At 40.7% G+C, this 20,798-nt stretch overlaps 2 protein-coding genes and 1 long non-coding RNA gene across 18 annotated transcripts in view, besides 6 other annotated features; 2 read left to right on the forward strand and 1 right to left on the reverse strand.

Annotated features, from left to right (window-relative positions):
- ACMSD (aminocarboxymuconate semialdehyde decarboxylase) overlaps positions 1 to 926 on the forward strand; it is a 63,419-nt gene extending 62,493 nt beyond the window's left edge. For all 9 annotated transcript variants that reach the window (XM_011510592.3, XM_047443333.1, XM_017003325.2 and 6 more), the window contains one exon: positions 690 to 926. In XM_011510592.3, the coding sequence (XP_011508894.1) occupies positions 690 to 752 (63 nt within the window). In that variant the 3' untranslated portion in view covers positions 753 to 926. The remainder of the gene's footprint in view (positions 1 to 689) is intronic.
- The window catches only part of CCNT2-AS1 (CCNT2 antisense RNA 1), a 51,974-nt gene extending 34,476 nt beyond the window's left edge, over positions 1 to 17,498 (reverse strand). The window contains exon 1 of the long non-coding RNA NR_036549.1: positions 17,455 to 17,498. This is a non-coding gene — a long non-coding RNA (CCNT2 antisense RNA 1). The remainder of the gene's footprint in view (positions 1 to 17,454) is intronic.
- Positions 16,624 to 16,673: an enhancer, noted in NCBI's record as "active region_16566". NCBI's record gives its function as "activates an Ori minimal core promoter by ATAC-STARR-seq in GM12878 lymphoblastoid cells {active_cell/tissue: GM12878}" and the evidence as "EXISTENCE:reporter gene assay evidence [ECO:0000049][PMID:35858748]".
- Positions 16,683 to 17,356: an enhancer, noted in NCBI's record as "H3K27ac-H3K4me1 hESC enhancer chr2:135675361-135676034 (GRCh37/hg19 assembly coordinates)". NCBI's record gives its function as "activates a minimal SCP1, AML or CMV promoter by ChIP-STARR-seq in primed H9 embryonic stem cells {active_cell/tissue: H9 hESC(primed)}" and the evidence as "EXISTENCE:reporter gene assay evidence [ECO:0000049][PMID:30033119]".
- Positions 17,354 to 17,423: a silencer, noted in NCBI's record as "silent region_11979". NCBI's record gives its function as "represses an Ori minimal core promoter by ATAC-STARR-seq in GM12878 lymphoblastoid cells {active_cell/tissue: GM12878}" and the evidence as "EXISTENCE:reporter gene assay evidence [ECO:0000049][PMID:35858748]".
- Positions 17,434 to 17,593: an enhancer, noted in NCBI's record as "active region_16567". NCBI's record gives its function as "activates an Ori minimal core promoter by ATAC-STARR-seq in GM12878 lymphoblastoid cells {active_cell/tissue: GM12878}" and the evidence as "EXISTENCE:reporter gene assay evidence [ECO:0000049][PMID:35858748]".
- The window catches only part of CCNT2 (cyclin T2), a 40,521-nt gene continuing 37,436 nt past the window's right edge, over positions 17,714 to 20,798 (forward strand). For all 8 annotated transcript variants that reach the window (NR_135468.2, NR_037649.2, NM_001320748.2 and 5 more), the window contains exons 1-2: positions 17,714 to 17,904; positions 18,702 to 18,783. Coding sequence is in view for 4 of the 8 variants with exons in the window: in NM_058241.3 (NP_490595.1) it covers positions 17,747 to 17,904; positions 18,702 to 18,783 (240 nt within the window). In the remaining 4 variants the exon portion in view is untranslated. The remainder of the gene's footprint in view (positions 17,905 to 18,701; positions 18,784 to 20,798) is intronic.
- Positions 17,744 to 18,013: an enhancer, noted in NCBI's record as "active region_16568". NCBI's record gives its function as "activates an Ori minimal core promoter by ATAC-STARR-seq in GM12878 lymphoblastoid cells {active_cell/tissue: GM12878}" and the evidence as "EXISTENCE:reporter gene assay evidence [ECO:0000049][PMID:35858748]".
- Positions 18,224 to 18,313: an enhancer, noted in NCBI's record as "active region_16569". NCBI's record gives its function as "activates an Ori minimal core promoter by ATAC-STARR-seq in GM12878 lymphoblastoid cells {active_cell/tissue: GM12878}" and the evidence as "EXISTENCE:reporter gene assay evidence [ECO:0000049][PMID:35858748]".

Raw genomic sequence — 20,798 nt, forward strand, 5'->3', positions numbered from 1 at the left:
ACATTAATGGTATGGATGTCACACAACCCCATATATTTCTTCCATCCTCAGCTACATACCTGTCCTTTGCAAGCTGGATAAACAAATCAGTTAGGGTATCACAAAGTTACTTCTTAAATCTCTTCTTTCAGCAGAGTTGATATAGTTTATAGCTGGGGAGTCCATTTCTTATGTGAAAATTTTAAGATGTACGGATTTGTACCCTCATCTGAGACCCTTCATTTATATCACTTCTCTTGCTCTGAAAAAGCTTAACTTTTATTTAGGGCCATGTGAAAACAACAACACATATGTCTAGCAGCTGGGGGATGGCTAGATGACTTTTGAGCACCTTTTGCAGCCCTCTTGTCCCACAGACCTAACTGTACCTTTTCTCTGTATTTGCCCCCAAATGGTCCTTAAGATCCAAGCTGTTAGAGGGTCCAGTTTCCAAACAAGGGCACCTCCTAAGGAGGGCTCTCCCCTTTATAAGTCTCTTCTCTCCCCCTACAATCAAGTTTCAGATTTAGATTTCAAACAGCGGGGCAAAACATAGGTCAAGAGGATTTTGGTAAGAGATTCACTGTATAACCTGCTAGTATTTTTCTCTCATATTGGGGAGCTGATTTTTTTAAACCTGATCAATGTAGTACTTAAAAGTACTTAAAAAACAACCAATAATGCTTTAAAATATTTTCTTTTCTTTTCAGAATAAACTCAAAGCCGGCAATGCCCTGGCATTTTTGGGTCTTGAGAGAAAACAATTTGAATGACTGAATTTACTACAAAGGCAAACTTTCAAAAGGATATCTCATTTTTGTTTCTAAATATGTATCAACAGGTATCAACAAAATCCTATTTTGAACTATTTTACTCAGAAATGAATGTCCCAAATATCCTAAATTATTCATAATAAAAATGATTTGTAAGTGTTTTCATTCTGAAAAGCAGTACATTATTTCATGTGCAAATAAAAAATGATTTTCCCAGTGCTCTTTTAATTAATCTGGAGAAATACAAAATAAAATGTCATTAATGATTTATATGGAGAAAGATTCATCCTAGAAGACTTAGGTAGGTTGTCCATTTTGAACAAAGATATGTGAATTGGACTCAAATAACCTGTTCCATCTGCCTTTAACACCTACCATTAGCCCAGAACTGGGCTGGGAATGCTTTAGCCTCCACAAAATAAATAACATGAATATAGGATATCCATAACCTCAGGGAGCTTCCAGACCAATTAAGGAGGTAAGAGATGTTCATGGAATAATTACTAAGCTATCAACTTTGAGTGTCAAAGAAGTTTCGTTAAGCGGAATTCACTTTGGTCTAAAACTGTGGAGCAGATCTTCACAGAGGGTGGAACATGAGAGTCCAGGAGATGAATAAGGAATTTTTAGGGTTAGAGGATGGGAAACAGGAAGGCAAAACTATGGGAACACAGCTGTGGTTTCAGACTGAATGAGACATCCATTTTAAAAGTTTTTGTCTATAAATTTACTCCTACCAGAAGCTCTTTTGATTTTAAAATACCGAGCAGAATGTATGAAGCTAACTGTGGAAAGTTAATAGGGCAATACCAGGGTAGCCTTGTTTTACCCATTTCATTTATGGTCCCACTTGGGCTGCTGAAAAGGAACTTGGTCCTGGGATGGGTGATGAAATCTATGGTTCATCTGCCTCTGGCTGAATTCCAAAATCAAGCATGGATTCATTCATTATTTTCCCTTCCATTCATCTAGAAAATCAAGAGTTGAGTATTGACATGTAATTTGTGCTGACCCCTCTCCAGAATAAAGATGAGATCTAATTCTTACTTCACTATGCTCACGCCATTATTTTCACTTTATATAGTTCATTGCCCCACCTCCTTCTCACCCCACCCCCCACCATTTCTTTCTAGGATTTTACTCACCCACCATCTGCTTATTGCTCCAATCTGCCCAAAAAGGAAAACAAAGTTGAACAAAGCAACAACATGAACCATATGTTATTTTTTCCTTCCCCAATCTTTGGGGATAAAGTCCATACCTTTTCAAATATTCTATATTTGAGCACTCTGAATACAGCATTTAATGATTGTTTTATTATAAAAAGTAACCCAATCACTTTATTCAATATCATACACACACATACACATGCAGAGTGAATGGATATATTCATATTCACATGTTTTCTATGTGCCAGGACTATAGGAATGCTCCAGGCACTGGGGGTATAGATGTAAACAAAAAAGATAAAATTCCTTTTCTGACAAAACCTACAATCTGAAGAGTGAGAAACATAAATAAGGTAAGGAAGAAGAAAAAGAGGAATAAAAGGAGGAACAGAAGGAGGAAAGAAGGAAGGAAATTTTTCTTATACTGATAAACACTATGAAGAAATTAAAACGAAAATGTGGTAGTGACTAGGAGAAAGATGGGGGGGTAAAACGTTAAATTGTAGAGTCAGAGAAGGCCTCTTTAAAGAGGACTTTCAACTGAGATTTGAATGATAGAACAGTGAAGAAAATGCAAAGGTTCTGAGGCAAGAAACCTCGTGACAAGTTTGTGAGCAAGGAAGGGAGACAGGAGAGGAAGCCAAAAAGTTGGCTAGATCAGTAGATCATGGTCAAGGGTTGAGTTTTTGTTGTTGTTGTTGTTGTTGTTGTTGTTGTTGTTTGAGGCAGAATCGTACCGTCACCAGGCTGGAATGCAGTGGCGCGATCTCGGCTCACTGCAACCTCCGACTCCCTGGTTCAAGTGATTCTCCTGCCTCAGCCTCCTGAGTAGCTAGGATTACAGGCACGTGCCACCAGGTCCAGATAATTTTTTTTTTTGAGACAGAATCTTACCCTGTCGCCAGGCTGGAATGCAGTGGCGCAATCTCGGCTCACTGCAACCTCTGACTCCCTGGTTCAAGTGATTCTTCTGCCTCAGCCTCCTGAGTAGCTAGGATTACAGGCACGCGCCACCAGGTCCAGCTAATTTTTTTTTTTAATAGAGTCGGGGTTTCACCCTGTTGGCCAGGATGGTCTCAATCTCCTGACCTCGTGATCCTCCCGCCTCAGCCTCTCAAAGTGCTGGGATTACAGGCATGAGCCACCACGCCTGCCCAAGATTTTTATCTTGTTTCATAGGAAACCACTGGAGACTTTTTAATAGGTCTGTGACATGCTCGGACTTATGTTATTCTTTTAAAACAAACAAACAAAAAATAGAAGGGTGCAGTGGCTTGCAACAGTAATCCCAACACTTTGAGAGGCTGAGGCAGGAGGATCACTTGAAGCCAGGAGACTGAGACCAGCCTGGGCAACACAGCAATCTCTACAAAAAAAAATTTTTTTTTAATTAGCTGGGTGTGGTGGCTCATTCCTATAATCTCAGCTACTCAGGAGGCTGGGATGGGAGGATGGCTTAAGCCCAGGAGTTCGAGGCTGCAGTGAGCTAGGATCATGCCACTGCACTCCAGCCTGGGTGACAGAGTGAGACCCTGTCTCAGAAAAAAGAGAGGAGAGGAGAGGAGGAAAAAAAGAAAAAAGAAACCCATATACATTAACAGCTTTGTAGAGACCTATTAAAGGGAGTCAAGAAAGGAAGTTGGAGGCTAGGCAAGAAATGATGGTGACTCAGGCATAAATACAAGAATGGGGATCATGAGATATGTTTGTAGGCAGAACCAACAGCATTTAATGATGGACTAAATGTGAGGAAGAGGGAGGAAGGGGAGGAAAGAAATCAAGGCTGACTCCTGGGCATGTGAATGTGAAGTGTGTGTACACATGTGCACACCATGCTTTTGTCAATCAGTCTCCTATATTTGGACATTTAAATAATTCCTAATGTTTTGTAATTATAAATAATACTGCAATAAAATTTGATTCATTTCCCAAATCATACATATGGATAAACTACAACTCTGATTGGATCAAAGATTTAACTCTAAAATATTAAACTATGCAGGTACTAGAAGAAAAGATGCGAGAATTCCTCTTTAATCTGGGTGTAAAGAGGGTTTTCTAACTAGGACTTTCCTGGGCACATACTCCTGGTGACATTTAAGGTTTGAGATGATTAATAGTAGTTAATGGTGTTAAATGCATCCATACTTTAAACATAGGTGCTTTGATTCCCAGGCTTTTCACTTGAACAGCTGGGTAGATTTATTACCATATACCATAATGAGGAAGACTATGGGAGAAACAGTCTTGAGAGGAAAGAGAATCAACAGTTCTGTAGTTGGACTTGTTATATTTCAGATGCCTCTTAGACATTTAAGTAGGAATGTCAAGTAAGCACTTGAGTGTTCTAGTCTGGAGAGTTCAAGAGAGAGGCTAGGGAAAAATCACCAGTGTATAAAAGGTATTTAAAGAAATGAGACTGGATGAAATCACCTGGTGAAAAAGTAGAGTAGAGACGCAAAAGACCCTAGGCCTATTTCCTGGGATTCACTAACACTTAGAAGTTAGATGAAGGCTATACAAAAATTAGCCCGGGCATGGTGGCACGTGCCTGTAATCCCAGCTAATCGGGAAGCTGAGGCAGGAGAATCACTTGAACCCGTGAGGCGGAGGTTGCAGTGAGCCGAGATCGTGCCACTGCACTCCAGCCTGGGTGACAGAGCGAGACTCTGTCTCAAAAAAAAAAAAAAAAAAGTTAGATGAAGGCACCAGCTTTGTGCACAGAAGAGTAGCCAGTGAGGTAGGAGGAAAACCAGGAAAATATACTCAGGAGTCAAGAGCAGACAATGTTTCAAGAAGTCCTAACAGCATTAGGCATACACACACACACACAAAATCAAAGCTACAATACTACGGTATTCAATAGAACCATATGCCTCAGATATAACTCAATCCCTTTATCCCAAAATTTAATTCCACTTCTTACAGTCCCAACCTGATGAATGGCATCACCCAGTCACCTAATCCTTCTCCTTCACCCGTATCAATACACCATTAAATCCAAAAGATTCAACTCATTTTATATCTTTTATTTCTTATCTGTTCTTTCCTCCATATGGCTTCCAACTAAATTCAGGTCTTCATCTCTCAGCAGGATATTGAAATAATCCCTTATTTGTACCCCTGCCCCTTGGCTTAGTCTGGTACAACCCATCTTCTACCTTGGTGCCAGATAAAAATGTCCAAAGTATGTATTTGATTATATTACTTTCTCTGTTAAAATTCCTCAGGACCTAAAGTGCTGGTTTCTAGGCTTTGGGATTTCATCGCTCAGTAACTCCCCCTTCAAAAAACCGAAAACAAAAAAAAAAATGTACTGCTATCTCTAACAGAGCACACCTCTCATTTTGAGTTGTGATTCCTATCTGCCTTCTAGACTGGACTTTCTTGAGGGATGACCTAAGTCTTCATTCACTCATGCATTCAACAAAATTTATTCAGGACTTATGATGGGCCAAGAACCATGCTAGATTCTGAGAGTATGAAAAAAGCAATCATGGTTCCTGCCCTCAGTTGTGCTTATAATCTAGTTAGGGAGACATGTATCAAGTAAGCAACAAATCAATAGAAAATTGCTACCACAACAGGAGCTAAGAAGGAAAGGCACATAGTATGTAGAAAGCTTATTATAAAGGATTTGTCCTAGTCAGAGTCGGAGAAAGATTTTTCAGAAAAAAGTTTTGCTTGAGCTAGGATCTGAAAGCAAACAACAGCTAAAAGGTAAAAAGGGAAGGGAAGAGTATTCCAGGCAGGAGAAACAGGATAAATGAAGCCTTGTGTCTGTGTAGGAAAACAGCCATTGTATGGCAAGAGTGACTCCATCTGGAAGGAGACTCGCCATGATAACTGATGTTTGACCACAGCATACCAAGGTGTTCTGCAGCAAGGTCTTTAAGCAATGCCTGTAGCATACATAGCCCTGCATAAAGATGCTTATCTAACCTCCCCAGTAGTCACGAGTTTCAGCAAGAAAGTCTGAGATGTAATCAGCTTGCCATACAAAGGATACTTTCTGGACAGTGAATGCAGGGACCCACCATTGCATGGTTATCCCAGATATCACTTCTGTTTGTAAGAGCCTATTAAATATTTCTTTCTGAGAAACTGAATTTGTCAGCCTCTTTCTTCAGCCTCTCACCTTGGGGGTGGGTTTGCACAGACCTGCTCACCACGGAACAGGCAGGAGAGAACACAGCAAGAAAGAAAACCACTGTGGCTGAAGATGACAAAGGAAGACATTCTTGGTAAAAAGTGACAAGCTCATGTGAGGCCATAAGTCAGTTGAGGAATTTTATATGTTGAAAAGCTGTGAGAACTCACAAATGGGAGAAAACATTTGCAAACTACCCATCTGACAAGGGATTAAGAACCAGAATCTATAACGTGCTCAAACAACTCTACAAGAAAAAAATTTAATAATCTGATTTTGAAATGGGCAAAAGATTTGAATAGACATTTCTCAAAAGAAGACATACAAATGGTAGACAGGCATATGAAAATGTCCTCAGTATCATGGCTCATCAGAGAAATGCAAATCAAAACTATAGTCAGATATCATCTCACCCCAGTAAAAATGGCATTTTTCCAAAAGACAACCAATAACAAATGCTGGCAAGGATGTGGAGAAAAGGGAACTCTTGTCCATTGTTGGTGGGAATGTAAATTAGTACAACCACTATGGACAACAGTTTGGAGGTTCCTCAAAAAACTAAAAATAGAGCTACCATGTGATCTAGTAATCCCACTGCTGGGTACATACCCAAAAGAAAGGAAGACAGTATATCAAAAGGATATCTGCACTCTCATATTTGTTGCAGCTGTGTTCACAATAGCCAAGGTTTGGAAGCAACCTAAGTATTCACCAACAGATGAATGATTAAACAAACTGTGGTACATATATACAATGGAGTACTATTCAGCCATAAAAAAGGATGAGATCCTGTCATTTGCAACAACGATGGAACTGGAGGTCATTATGTTAAGTGAAATAAGCCAGGCACAGAAAGACAAACTTTGCATGTTCTCACTTATTTGTGGGAGCAAAAATTAAAATAATTGAATTTACAGACATAAAGAGTAAAAGGATGATTACTAGAGACTGGAGTGGATAATTGGGGAATGGGGATGGCTCATGGGTACCAAAAGTAGTTAGAAAAAATGAATAAGACCTCATATGTGATAGCACAATAGGTGACTATTATAGTCAATAATAATTTAATTATACATTTAAAAATAACTAAAAGTATATAATTGAGTTGTCTGTGACACAAAGGATAAACGCATGAGGGGGATGGATACCCAATTTACCAAGATGTGATTAATAAGCATTGCATACCTGTATCAAAATATCTCATGTACCCCACACTACTATGCACCCACAAAAATTAAAAATTAAAAAAAAAACAACAAGAGTTGGAAGCAAAGAAGCATGGATTGGAGTCTTACGGTCACAAGCCAAGAAAGGCCTAGAGTCACCAAAAGCTGAAGAGCCTAGAAACAGATTCTCCCCAATAGTCTTCAGAGGGAGCACAGCCCTGCTGTTTTAGTCCAGTTTTCATTGCTCATAGCAGGATACCTGAAACAGTAATTACTTCTTAGAGTTACAGAGGCTGAGAAGTCCCAGGTTGAGGGGCCACATCTGGTGAGGGCCTTCTTACTGGTGGGGACTCTGCAGAATCCCAAGATAGTACAGGGCATCATATGGCAAGGGAGCTGAACGTGCTAGCTCCAGTCTCTTCCTCTTCTTATAAAGCCGACCAGTTCCATTACCATGATAACCCATTAATCCATTAACCTATTAATCCATTCATGAGGGCTCTGCCCTCATGACCCAATCACCTCTCAATACTGCCACATTGGGGATTAAATTTCAACATGAGTTTGGGAGAGGACAATCATTCAAACCATAGTCCCTGCCAACACATTGATTTTAGACTTCTGGCCTTTAGAATTGAGAGATAATAAATTTCTCTTGTTTTAAGTCAAAAAACAATACCAAAAGAAAACAAACAAATAATAACAACAACAACAAAGAAAAGCAATGAGAAGGTTTTTAAGTAGGGGATGGCATTAATTAGAGCTGATTTTTTTTAATCCTGCTCCTGTGGGATAGAATTCAATTTTGAAAAGATTCCTCTGGCAGGCTGCAGGATGACAACAGCTTGCAGGGGAGCTTAAGTGAAATAGCTTGGGCCAAGATGGTGGTAGTGTTGCTGGTGGAGAAACATACGTAATAGACTCCAGAGATAATAAGGGTCAACAGAAAGGCTTTGGTGATGGGTTAGATACGGGAGATAAGGATTACAGATACCAAAGATGACCCCTAAGTTTCGGACTTGCATAACTGGAAGTAGTGCCATTTTACTACAAGAGGCACAGAGAGAAGACCAGGTTGGAAAGACAGGATTATGAGTTTAGTTTGGGGAAATATTGATTATTAATGCCTTTGAGACACACAAAAGGGAAAGTCGAGTGTGCAGACTTATGCAGTTTGAATTTCCTAGCACACAGTAACATCTCTACTAGCATTCACTGGATAAATAAATAGTAAAATAAAAATAAGTAAACAGGTCTTCCTCCTAAAATGAGCAAAGAAAGGAACCGGAAATCAATCTTCACCGAGTATGTTAGGAATTCATGCAGTTCTGAGTGTAATCCAAATGGCAAGGCCTCACAAATTTGTGACTATCTACAATGACTTGAGTCTTCACTATCCTCGTGAGCCTTTCTTCTTGGCTCACCCGCCTAGTAAGCCCTTCTCCTTGGCTAATAGATGGGTGTCTTCTCCCTGTGTCTTCATATGGTCTTTCCTCTGTACATGTCTACATCATGACTGACTCTTCTTCTAGGACACCAGTCATACTGGATTAGGGCCCACCCTAATGATCTCATTTTAACTTAATTCCCACTTAAAAGAACCTGCATCCAAATATAGTCACATTCTGAGCTACTTGGGGTTAGGACTTTTGGGACACAATTCAGCCCGTAACAAATGCCTTATATATATTCACAAACCAATCTGGCAATGTCCATACCAGGGGTGTAATTTGGTGACAGCAGACATTCTTCTCAGATGCCATTAGCAGCACAGGGTTCTAAGCAAAGGTAAAGAGAATAATCTCCTCAGTACCATATTTGATTGCCTGGCCCTGGAACAATATTGCTTACACAGTGAATCTGCTCACAACCCAGAATCTAGAAAAGTCACTCAGGAAAATCACCTTTTCAGTGTTTTCTCTCCTTCCTTATCTACTGCAAGCACTTCTCCAAAAACAACCTTTTTAAAACACTCCCAACACCACCAGATTCCAAAGGAGAAACAACCACTCATAGCCATCCAAGCATCTTTCTCTTTCCGTTGTACAGTACCTTCTCCTATATCCCCTAAAAAGAAAGCCAGTACTGGCTCAGCCTAATTCATATTCCCTGACCAAAAAGCTTAAATCTGTATTCAAGGTAATCACTTTAGATTAACATACCAAGACAAATACCAGCTTTAAATTTGTTTAACTTAAAGAGACCATTATGAAGATTTTTCCCAATCAAAATTGAAAAAAGGTAAATTGAAGTTTCCATTTCTGAAAATAAAAAACTGCTCACAACCTAAAAACATTAAAGTTTATTTTTAAAAAGTCAACACAAGCATATGTAAAAGTTCAAACAGATCAAATTCAACCTATGTCTCCCAGTCTACACCCCAGAAGGAACCAATTTTATCTGTTTTGTGTGTGTGTATTCTTGCAAACACAGTCTATGATTATACAAGTATTTACATGTATATATTCCTTTTTCATTTTAAGCAAACAGTAGAATTTGCCCTTTCTGGTACCTTTTAAATACCTTGCAGGGTACTTAATAACTTGGTGGTCATTCCACGTATAAACTGCCTCTTTCTTTTTAATGGGTGGATCCTATGAATGAAAATTACAGATTACATAGATGTACATAATCATCCAGTCCTCAACACATGGACATTCCTGTTTCCAATCTTTTGCAATTATGAACTGTTGCCAAGAATACCCTTGTCACTGGAAAGGGGTCCCAATCCAGACCCCAAGAGAAGGTTCTTGGATCTCACTCAAGAAAGAATTTGAGGTAAATCTATAAAGTGAAAGCAAGTTTACTAAGAAAGTAAAGGAATAAAGAATGTCTATTCCACAGGCAGAGCAGCCCAGAGGGCTGCTGGTTGCCTATTTGTATGGTTATTTCTTGATTATATGCTAAACAGGAGGTGTATTATTCATGTCTCCCCTTTTTTTAGACCATATCCCCTTTTTTAGACCATGACGTTGCCATGGCATTTGTGAACTGCCATGGTGCCAGTGGGAGTGTCATTTAGCATGCTAATATATTATAATTAGCAAATAATGAGCAGTGAGGATGCCCAGAGGTCACTTTTATCGCCATCTTGGTTTTGGTGGGTTTTAGCTGGCTTCTTTACCACAGACTGTTTTATCAGCAAGGTCTTTATGACCTGTACCTTGTGCTGATCTCCTATCTCATCCTGTGACTTAGAATGTCTAACCTCCTGGGAATGCAGCCCAGTAGGTATCAGCCTTATTTTACCCAGCCCCTACTCATGATGGAGTCACTCTGGTTCAAACGCCTCTGGCACCATTATATATTTGTTCAGCATCTTTTCATATGCCTATTTGCCATCTATATACCTTCTTTGTGAGGTATCGGTTTAGATCTTTTGCCCATTTTTTAATTGGGTTGTTTATTTTCTTATTGCTGAGCTTTAAGAATTCTTTTTTTTTTTCATTTGCCATCTAATCTTTTAAAAAGTTCTGTGGGAACACAGTAGGTATATATAATTTACGGGGTATGTGAGATATTTTGATACAGGCATGCAATGATGTGAAATAAACACTTCGGGGAGAATGGGATCTCCATCCCCTCAAGCATTTATCCTTTGAGTTATAAACAATCCAATTACATTTTTAAAGTCATTTTAAAATGTATAATTAAGATATGCTTGATTATATTCACCCTGTTGTGCTATCAAATAGGTCTCATTCATACTTTCTTTTTTTGTACCCATCAACCATCCCCATATCCCCACAAGTCCCTCCGCCCACCCTTCTCAGCCTCGGGTAACCATCCTTCTACTATGTCCATGAATTCAATTGTTTTGATTCTTAGATCCCACAAATAAGTGAGAATATGCAATCTTTGTCTTTCTGTGCCTGGCTTATTTCACTTTACATAATGACCTCTGGTTCCATCCATGTTGTTGCAAATAACAGGATCTCATTCTTTTTTATGGCTGAATAGTACTTCTTGTGTATATGTACCAGTTTCTTTATCCATTCATCTGTTGATGGACACTTACATTCCAAATCTCAGCTATTGTAAACAGTGCTACCACAAATATGCAAGTGCAGATATCTCTTTGATATACTGATTTCCTTTCTTTTGGGTATATACCTAGCAGGGGGATTCCTGGATCACATGGTAGATCTAGTTTTTTGAGGAACCTCTAAACTGTTGTTCATAGTGGTTGTACTAATTTATATTCCCACCAACAGTGTACAAAGAGTTCCCTTTTCTCCACATCCTCACCAGTATGTGTCATAGCCTGTTTTTTGGATAAAAGCCATTTTAACTGGGGTGAGATGATCTCACTATACTTTTGATTTGCATTTCTCTGATGATCCATGATACTGAGAACCTTTCCATATGCCTGTCTGCCATTTGTATGTCTTCTTTTGAGAAATGTCTATCCAAATCTTTTACCCATTTTAAAATCAAGTTATTAGATTTTATTTCCTACAGAGTTGTTTGAGCACCTTATAGATTCTGGTTATTAATACATCGTTAGATGGGTAGTTTGCAAATATTTTCTCTCATTCTGTGGGCCGTCTCTTCCCTTTGTCTGTTTGTTTGTTTGAGACACAGTCTTGCTCTGTCGCCCAGGCTGCAGTGCAGTAGCGTGATCTCTGCTCACTGCAAGCTCTGCCCCCCCGGTTCATGCTATTCTCCTGCCTCAGCCTCCCGAGTGGCTGGGACTACAGGCACCCGCCACCACGCCCAGCTAATTCTTTTGTATTTTTAGTAGAGATGGGGTTTCACCGTGTTCACCAGGACGGTCTTGATCTCCTGACCGCGTGATCCGCCCGCCTCGGCCTCCCAAAGTGCTGGGATTACAGGCATGAGCCACCCTGCCCAGCCCTCTTCCCTTTGTTGATTGTATCCTTTGCTGTGCAGAAACTTTTTAACTTGATGTGATCCTATTTGTCCATTTTCGCTTTGGTTGCCTGTGCTTGTTGGGTATTGCTCAGAAATTTTTGGCCAGACCAATGTCCTGGAGATTTTCCCCAATGTTTTCTTGTAGTAGTTTCATAGTTTAAGGTCTTAAAGTCTTTAATCCATTTTTATTTTTTTATAGGACAAGAGATAAAGGCCTAATTTCATTCTTTTGCATACTGACATCCAGTTTTCCCAGCATCATTTATTGAAGAGACTGTCTTTTCCCTAGTGTATGTTCTTGGCACATTTGTTACAAATGAGTTCACTGTAGGTGTGTGGATTTGTTTCTGGGTTCTCTATTCTGTTCTGTTGGTCTATGTATCTGTTTTTATGTGAGTACCATGCTGTTTTGGTGCTGAAAGCTCTGTAGTATAATTTTAAGTCAGGTAATGTGATTCTTCCAGGATTGTTCTTTTTGCTTAGGATAGTTTTGGCTATTCTGGGTCTTCTGCTACTCCATATAAATTATAGGATTGTTTTTTCTATTTCTGTGTAGAATGTCATTGATGTTTTGAAAGGGATTGCACTGAATTTGTAGATTGCTTTGGGTAATACGGACATTTTAACAATATTGATTCTTCCAACTCATGAACATGGAATGTTTTCCATTTTTTGTGTCATCTTCAATTTCTTTCATCAGTGTTTTATAGTTTTCATTATAGAGATATTTTGCTTCTTTGGTTAATTCCTAGGTACCTAATTTTATGTGTAGATATTGTAAATGGGATTACTTTTCAATTTCTTTTTCACATTGTTCACTGTTGGCATATAGGAATGTTACTGATTTTTGTGTGTTGATTTTGTATCCTGCAACTTTACTGAATTTGTTGATCAGTTCTAATAGTTTTCCTTTGGAGTCTTCAGGTTTTTCCAAATATAAGATCATATCATCTACAAACAAGGATAATTTGACTTCTTCCTTTCCAATTTGGATGCCCTTTATACCTTTCTCTCGTCTGCTTTAGCTAGGACTTCCAGTACTAGGTTGAATAACAGTGGTGACAATGGGCATCCTTGTTGAGTTCCAGATCTTAGAGGAAAAGCTTTGTTTTTTTCCTATTCAGTATGATACTAGTTGTGGGACTGTCATATATGGCTTTTATTATGTTGAGGTAAGCTCCTTCTATCCCGTTTTTTTACGGCTTTTATCATGAAGGGATGTCAAATTCTATCAAATACTTTTTCGGCATCAATTGAAATGGTATGGTTTCCAGTCTTCATTCTGTTGATATGATGTATCAAGCTGATTTATTTGCAACCATCCTTGCATCCTAGGGATAAATCCCCTTTGATCATGATGAATGCTCTCTCTAATGTATTGTTGAATTCAGTTTGCCGATATTTTATTGAGGATTTTTGCATCAACATTCATCAGAGATATTGGCCTGTAGTTTTCTTTTTTCAATGTGTCTTTGGTTTTAGAATCAGGGTAATACTGGCCTTGTAGAATGAGTTTCGAAGTACTCTCTCTTCCTCTATTTCAGAATGGTTTGTGTAGTATTGGTGTTAGTTCTCCTTCAAATGTTTAGTAAATTTAGCAGTTCGGCCATCTTAAGAGTTCTTTATCAGACGTATGTTTTGCAAATATTTCTTCCTTGTATTTCATTCTCTTAACAGTGTCTTTCACAGAACGGAGGTTTTAATTTTTTTAATTTTAAGTTTTGAGATGGAGTTTCACTCTTTGTTGCCCAGGCTGGAGTGCAGTGGCACGATCTCGGCTCACTGCAACCTCCGCCTCCCGGGTTCAAGCAATTCTCCTATCTCAGTCTCCTGAGTAGCTGGGATTATAGGCGCCTGCCACCATGTCCAGCTAATTTTTTTTTTTTTTTTTTTTTTTGAGACGGAGTCTCCCTCTGTCGCCCAGGCTGGAGTGCAGTGACACGATCTTGGCTCACTGCAACCTCCACCTCCTGGGTTCAAGCGATTCTCCTACCTCAGCCACCCCAAGTAGCTGGGACTACAGGCATGCGCCACCATGCCCAGCTAACTTTTTTTGTATTTTTAGTAGAGACAAGGTTTCACCATGTTGGCCAGGCTGGTCTCCAAATCTTGACCTCAGGTGATCTGCCCGCCTCAGCCTTCCAAAGTGCTGGGATTACAGGCATGAGTCACTGCGCCTGGCCAGAGGTTTTTAATTTTAATGAAGTCCAACTTACCAGTTTTTTCTTTCATGGATTGTACTTTTGGTGTTGCATCTAAAACCTCATTGCCAAACACAAGGTCAACTATATTTTTTCCTATGTTATCTTCCAGAAGTTTTACAGTTTTGCATTTTACATTTAGGTCTGCAGCCCACTTTGAGTTAAATTTTGTGGAAGGTATAAGGTCTGCATGTAGATTTTTTTTTTTTAATGTGGCTTTCCGGTTGTTCTAGCGCCATTTGTTAAAAAGACTATTATTGCTCCATTGACTTGCCTTTGTTCCTTTGTCAAAGGTCAGTTGACCATTTATGGGTGGGCTCTCTATTCTGTTCCATTGATCTATGTGTCTATTCTTTCTCAAATACCACACCGTCTTGATTACTGTAGCTTGATGTTAGGTAATGTCAGTGCAACTTCTTTGGTATTGTGTTGGTTATTCTGGGTTTTTTGCCTTTACATAGAAGTTTTAGAATCAATTTGTCAATATGTGCAAAATCACTTGCTGAAATTTTGGTTGGGATTGCACTGAATTTGTAGATCAACCTGGGAAGAATTGACATCTAAATTGATTCTTCTAATCTATGAACTCAGAATAGCTTTCTGTTATTTAATCTTTTTTTGTTTTCCATTAGAGTTTTATTATAGTTTTCTGCATATAGATCCTGTACATATTTCAGATCCATATCTTTTTTTTTTTTTTTGGAGATAGAATCTTGCTCTATCACCCAGGCTGGAGTGCAGTGGAGTGATCTCGGCTCACTGCAACCTCTGCCTCCTGGGTCCAAGCAATTCTCGTGTCCCAGCCTCCCAAGAAGCTGGGATTACAGGCATGCACTACCGCACCCAGCTAATTTTTGTATTTTTAGTAGAGACAAGGTTTCCCCATGTTGGCCAGGCTGGTATTGAACTCCTGGCCTCAAGCAATCTCCCACCTTGGCCTCCCAAAGTGCTGGGAGTATAGGTGTGAACCACTGCGCCCTGCCTAGATCCATATCTAAGTACAGGTTGAGTATCCCTAAATCTGAGAATCAGAAACACTCCAAAACCCAAAACTTCAAGCCCCCACATGACATTCAAAGGAAATGTTCATTGGCGCATTTCAGATTTAGAATTTTTGGATTAGGATGCTCAATGGCTAAGTTTATAATTCAAATATTTCAAAACCTAAAAAAACCTGAAATCCAAAACACATCTGGTCTCAAGCATTTCAGATACGTGATACTCAACCTGTATTACTTTGGGAGACGGTACTATTGTAAATGGCATTTTTAAATTATAAATTCCAATTGTTCATTGCTGGTGTATAGGAAAACTGACTTTTGTATTCAACCTTATATCCTAAAATTTTACAGAAGAAGTTTTATGTCTTCCTTCCCAATATGTATATACTTTTAATTTACTTTTCTTGTTAGCTAGAACACCCAGTACCACGTTGAAAAGACTGGTGAGAGGGGACATGCTTGCCTTGTGTCAGACTTTAGGTGGAAAGAATGTAGTTTCTCACAACAGAAACAATCTATTGTTAGCTGCAGAATTTTTGTAGATGCTCTTTATCAAGTTGAGGAAGTTCTCCTTTATTCCCAGTTTGCTGAGTTTTTATCATGAATGGATGTTGAGGATGGGCACTTCTTTTATTTGTGTGTGTGTGTGACAGGATCTCACTCTGTCACCCAGGCTGGGGTGCAACCTCACCTCTCAGGTTGAAGCGATACTCCCAAGGAGCTAGGACTACAGACGCCACCACATCCAGCTAATTTTTTAAAAAACTTTTGTAGAGGTGGGGTCTCATTATGTTGCCCAGGCTGGTCTAGAACACTTTGGCCTCCCAAAGTGCTGGGATTACAGCCGGGAAACACTGCACCTGGCCAAGGGTTTGCACTTTTAAAATGTTGCTTTAAATCAATCTATTCCAGAAATTGTAAGCAACATAAAACGTAAAGCAAGGGAAGTGAGTATGAAATAGCAACTGTTACAAAAACTGCCTACTATAATCAATATTCTTGTGCAATGCAGTATGCTGAGCGTGGGAGCCCCATAACAATCACTTGCCTCCATGGTCTTTGGCAAATAGATATTACTTTATTTTTTATTTTCGAGACAAGGTCTTGCACTATCGCCCAAGCTGGGGTGCAGCAGCGAGATCTAGCTCACCGCAGCCTCCACCTCCTGGGCTCAAGCCATCCTCCCACTTCAGCCTCGGGAGTAGCTGGGACTACAGGCGCGCCACCAAACCTGGCTAATTTTTGTATTTTTGGTAGAGACGGGGTATCGCCATGTTGCCCTTGCCCTCGAACTCCTGACCTCAAGTGATCGGCCCACTGGACCTCCCCAAGTGCTGAGATTACAGGCGTGAGCCACCGTGCCCGGCCTCCAAATAGTTAAGACTTTAAACTTAGAAACCCTATTCACAACACAAACTCCGAGTGAAGCTCAGTGGCATTTTCTTACAGGAAGAAATACAGGAGTTAATCAACAGGTATGTGGGATGTTCCCACATCAAATCCTAAAGATAAAATTTTAACTCAGTTCCTCCTGCACTATCTGATTCTCCCCAACCTTGTCTCGCAGAAACCACAGCGCAGCCTGAAAACACGCCCCGTCTAGATTCAACACCTCATTTAGAAATTCAATTTCTCGTTGCTAGTTGGATAGCGTTTGCCAAGTAATTTGAAAAAATAAAAATAAACCAAGTGGTCTGGGATTTAAACAAGATAATGTAGGGTGAAAAAAGCACTCAGGTGCGGACAGCCATGGAGCGTGACTTCCTGTGCACTCTTTCCCCGCCAGCTCAACGCCAGAGCCGCGCGCTAGGCGGAGACTGTTGGTGGCGGAGGCCGGAGTCGCACGCCTACGAGACTGCGCGGACCCGCCCAAAAGGAAAATGGAAGTAGTGGCGTGAGGCTGCGACAGTGAAGGTTATTTTTCTCTTTTTAAAGGGCCGCTAGACCTCCCGTCTAAAGGAAGCGCCCGACGGGCCTCCGAAGTACACGCCCAGGCCCCCACAGCGCAGCCGCCCGACCGCCTCTCTTCACACCGGCCAGAGTCCACCCTCTCCCACTTTCCCCTCCCCTCCCCTCCCCGCCCCTTCCCTCCCCACCCCTTCGCCCCGCCAACCCTAGACCCGGCATGCGCTGCGCCGACCTTTTCCTTCCGAGCCGACCTCTCCACCTTCGGCGCCTCCCAATGACAAGCGGCGCGGAGCATTGTGGTCCCGTGCGCAAGAGCGAGGCCGAGGGCAGAAAAAGAAAGCAAAAGACTAGGGCGAGTCGGTAGAGCGGGCCCCGCGCATGCGCAAGGGCGGAGGCGGTGGTGAAAAAGGGTGGTGCGTGGTCTACGGCGAGCGGAGTGGGGCGGGGTCGCGCGCCTTGGCGGGGAGTCCGCGAGCCAGGAGGGGCGGGGGGTGAATGAAGGAGCGGGCGGAGGAGGAAGTGTCATGGCGTCGGGCCGTGGAGCTTCTTCTCGCTGGTTCTTTACTCGGGAACAGCTGGAGAACACGCCGAGCCGCCGCTGCGGAGTGGAGGCGGATAAAGAGCTCTCGTGCCGCCAGCAGGCGGCCAACCTCATCCAGGAGATGGGACAGCGTCTCAATGTGTATCCTTTTCTGTTCGCCGCCGCTCACGCCCTGTTTCCCTTGCCCGGTCGCCGGGCCTGGTGCCCCGCGAACATGGCGCCGCCGGCCTCGGCCTTCGCTGGGCCTCGGCGCCGCGGTCAGGGAAGTAATGTTCCGGCTCGGGCAGTCGCGAGGGGTCAGCAGAGGAAGGGAGGAGGAGATAGGACCCCAGGAATGCGGGCCAGGAGCCTGCGTTGTGTAATCTGTTTGGGGCAGCGCGTGGTGGTGGCGGCGGGGGTTGGGAGTGTGGCTCAGGCGAAAGAGGAATTTTAGGGATTATTGCAGAAAAGGGGCGGCTCCCTGGACTTGTCCCTGACCCCGAAGGGTTTGAGAGGTAGGAGGGTTAGCGATGCTGAAAGGCCTAAGTGTTTGCCGCAGCCTTTCCCGGCTCTCGTCGCCGGCTTGATGGCGGCTCTCTTCTACCTTGGGAGCGTACTGGAGTTCTTTATGTTCTTGGCGTGGTTTTGTATGGGTGTGTGCGCGCGCGTTTCAACTGTTTCATTTTGAGTTTAGTTAGTCGTAGCCATTGATAAATAGTTCCAGGGCCCTCAGCGCTGTTAGAGTGAAAAGATCAGCAGTTCTTATTCCCATTTATTTGGCGTCAAGCCTATTCTCTTCCTGCCGCCCCACCCCCCGCGGGCATTTATTTCTTTATTTCCAGTTTGGGGTTTGGATTTGAATGGGAGGTATTGGAAAAGAACCTGGGAATTTTCCATCAAAATTGTTCTGGGAATGAGATCTTGCTTTTGTCAGATATTTCCTAAATATTACGTTCCAGCTCTCAGCTTACAATAAACACTGCGATTGTTTATATGCACAGGTTTTATATGCACCATTCTTTCACCAAATTCAACAAAAATGTAAGTACTAGTTGTCTGTTTTTACTGTCCGCAAATTTGAGGGTAAATCGATACGCAGAAAAAAAGTTGGTCATTGCGTTGTTGGATTTAGTGTTCTGAATTAACGGTAAACGTATATCACGTGATAAATATTTTGCTTCAGATGCGGTGTTTTTGTGTTTTTAAAATTTATGATGAATTAAACTGCAAGGCACTGTTAAGCTCTGCCAGGCCTTTTAAGCTAAAAAAGAAAAACATTTATTTCTTTACAGAGTTATTACATAGGTTTTCTTCATTTAAATTCTATACTTAACATTTGAATAATTTCAGTAGTGATGTACAGTGGAATTGGGCAAGCCTGGTCGTTCTGTGATACATCTTAATTATGTTGGACTCATTGTTTAAAAGACTGTCAATTGAGATTAAATTAATTATGACATTCTTTTGAAAGAGCTATTTAGTAGAAATAATTCATTTCTTCATTTGCTAACCTAGTAATTTCTTAAGATGTCAACGTTTCTGTTTATCACGTTAGCATCAGTTGTCTCCTAAAATTTTGGGTGATTCAAACGTCCACTCTTGCTTCAGATATAGTACGTCAGGAGTATGTTTATGTATTATTAGTAAAATTTACACCTGAATATTAAGGTATATAACCTGTAAACCTTGACAAATAGAGTAATGGCATTTTGTTGAAATGTTAATTTCATTTATGAAAGATACGAGTTTGGTGTATGTTGAGTAACACGCATACTGTGTTGTGTGTGTTAAAGAAAATTGCATATTGTTTAGAAATGTTTAACTCTGCTTTAATTCTGTCTTTATTTGTTACTTTTTATCATAGTTATTTTTAGAATATTATTCTGAAAGGTATGTGTAGAAAAATGGACCAAAGAAGACTTTCTGCTATTTGTGGATAGTCATTAGGACTTATTTGCTAAGAAAACAATCCTAGGAAAGATCCTCAGAATATTATTTTTGAAATGGAAGGAAAGGCTTCATGGTTTAGATTGAGTCCTACCTTAATCTCTTCGGATCCTATTTCATTTATCAGTTTGGCATACAGGTTTATCTTGGACCACAAGTATTTTAATATACATTTTGATCTCTTGAAGACTTCTTCTATTTCTTTTTTAAATCTGCATAATTCTTGCTCTGTTGCTTCTAGTTTCCTAGTTATTTCTTGTGCATAACATTTAGGTCAGTGATAGTGTTATGGAAGAGAAAGGAAGCCATTGGTGATAACATTTAGATTAAGGGAATTCATTATAAATTGTCTCCAAAGGCAGTAGTGAACTAATGAATGTTAATATAAATTTGGCATTCCTTACGTAACCCTGGATAATAATGGTAGAAATTACAAATCAAAATAGTTCTGACTATTCTTTATATGGCTACAGATGTCCCATTTGCCGAATCAGGCATACTTTTGTACTTCCAATAAATGATCTAGCCACAAGTCTTCACTTCTTTTATTTATTAATTTTTTTTTTATTTTTTTGAGACAGAGTCTCACTCTGTCACCCAAGCTGGAGTACAGTGGCGCTGTCACAGCTCACCACAACCTCTGCCTCCCTGGTTCAAGCTATTCACCTGCCTCAGCCTCCTGAGTAGCTGGGACTACAGGTGTGTGCCACCACTCCCGGCTAATTTTTGTATTTTTAGTAGAGAGGGGGTTTCACCATGTTGGCCAGGCCGGTCTTGAGCTCCTGACCTCAGGTGATCCGTCCGCCTCGGCCTCCCAAAGTGCTGGGATTACAGGCACGAACCACCGTGCCCGGCCATCTTCACTTCTTTGTTTTGAGCCCTCCTTATAATTTGTCTTTATGGCGTGGTTGGCGTGCTTTACAACAAATACCCTGCTTAAAGCCAGAATTCACAACTTTAGATTGTCATTTGCATTCTAGCTTTCACTATTTTACTTAAATGTTTTCCTTCAATAAAAAGGCCAAGGTATTAATTTTTTATTACCTTCTTTAATGTCTTATTGTGTATGAAGGTAAACTTCAGCATTTTTACGTAGAGTCAGTAATAAT

This window comes from Homo sapiens, chromosome 2 (genome assembly GCF_000001405.40).
Source record: "Homo sapiens chromosome 2, GRCh38.p14 Primary Assembly".
Lineage (NCBI taxonomy): Eukaryota > Metazoa > Chordata > Mammalia > Primates > Hominidae > Homo > Homo sapiens.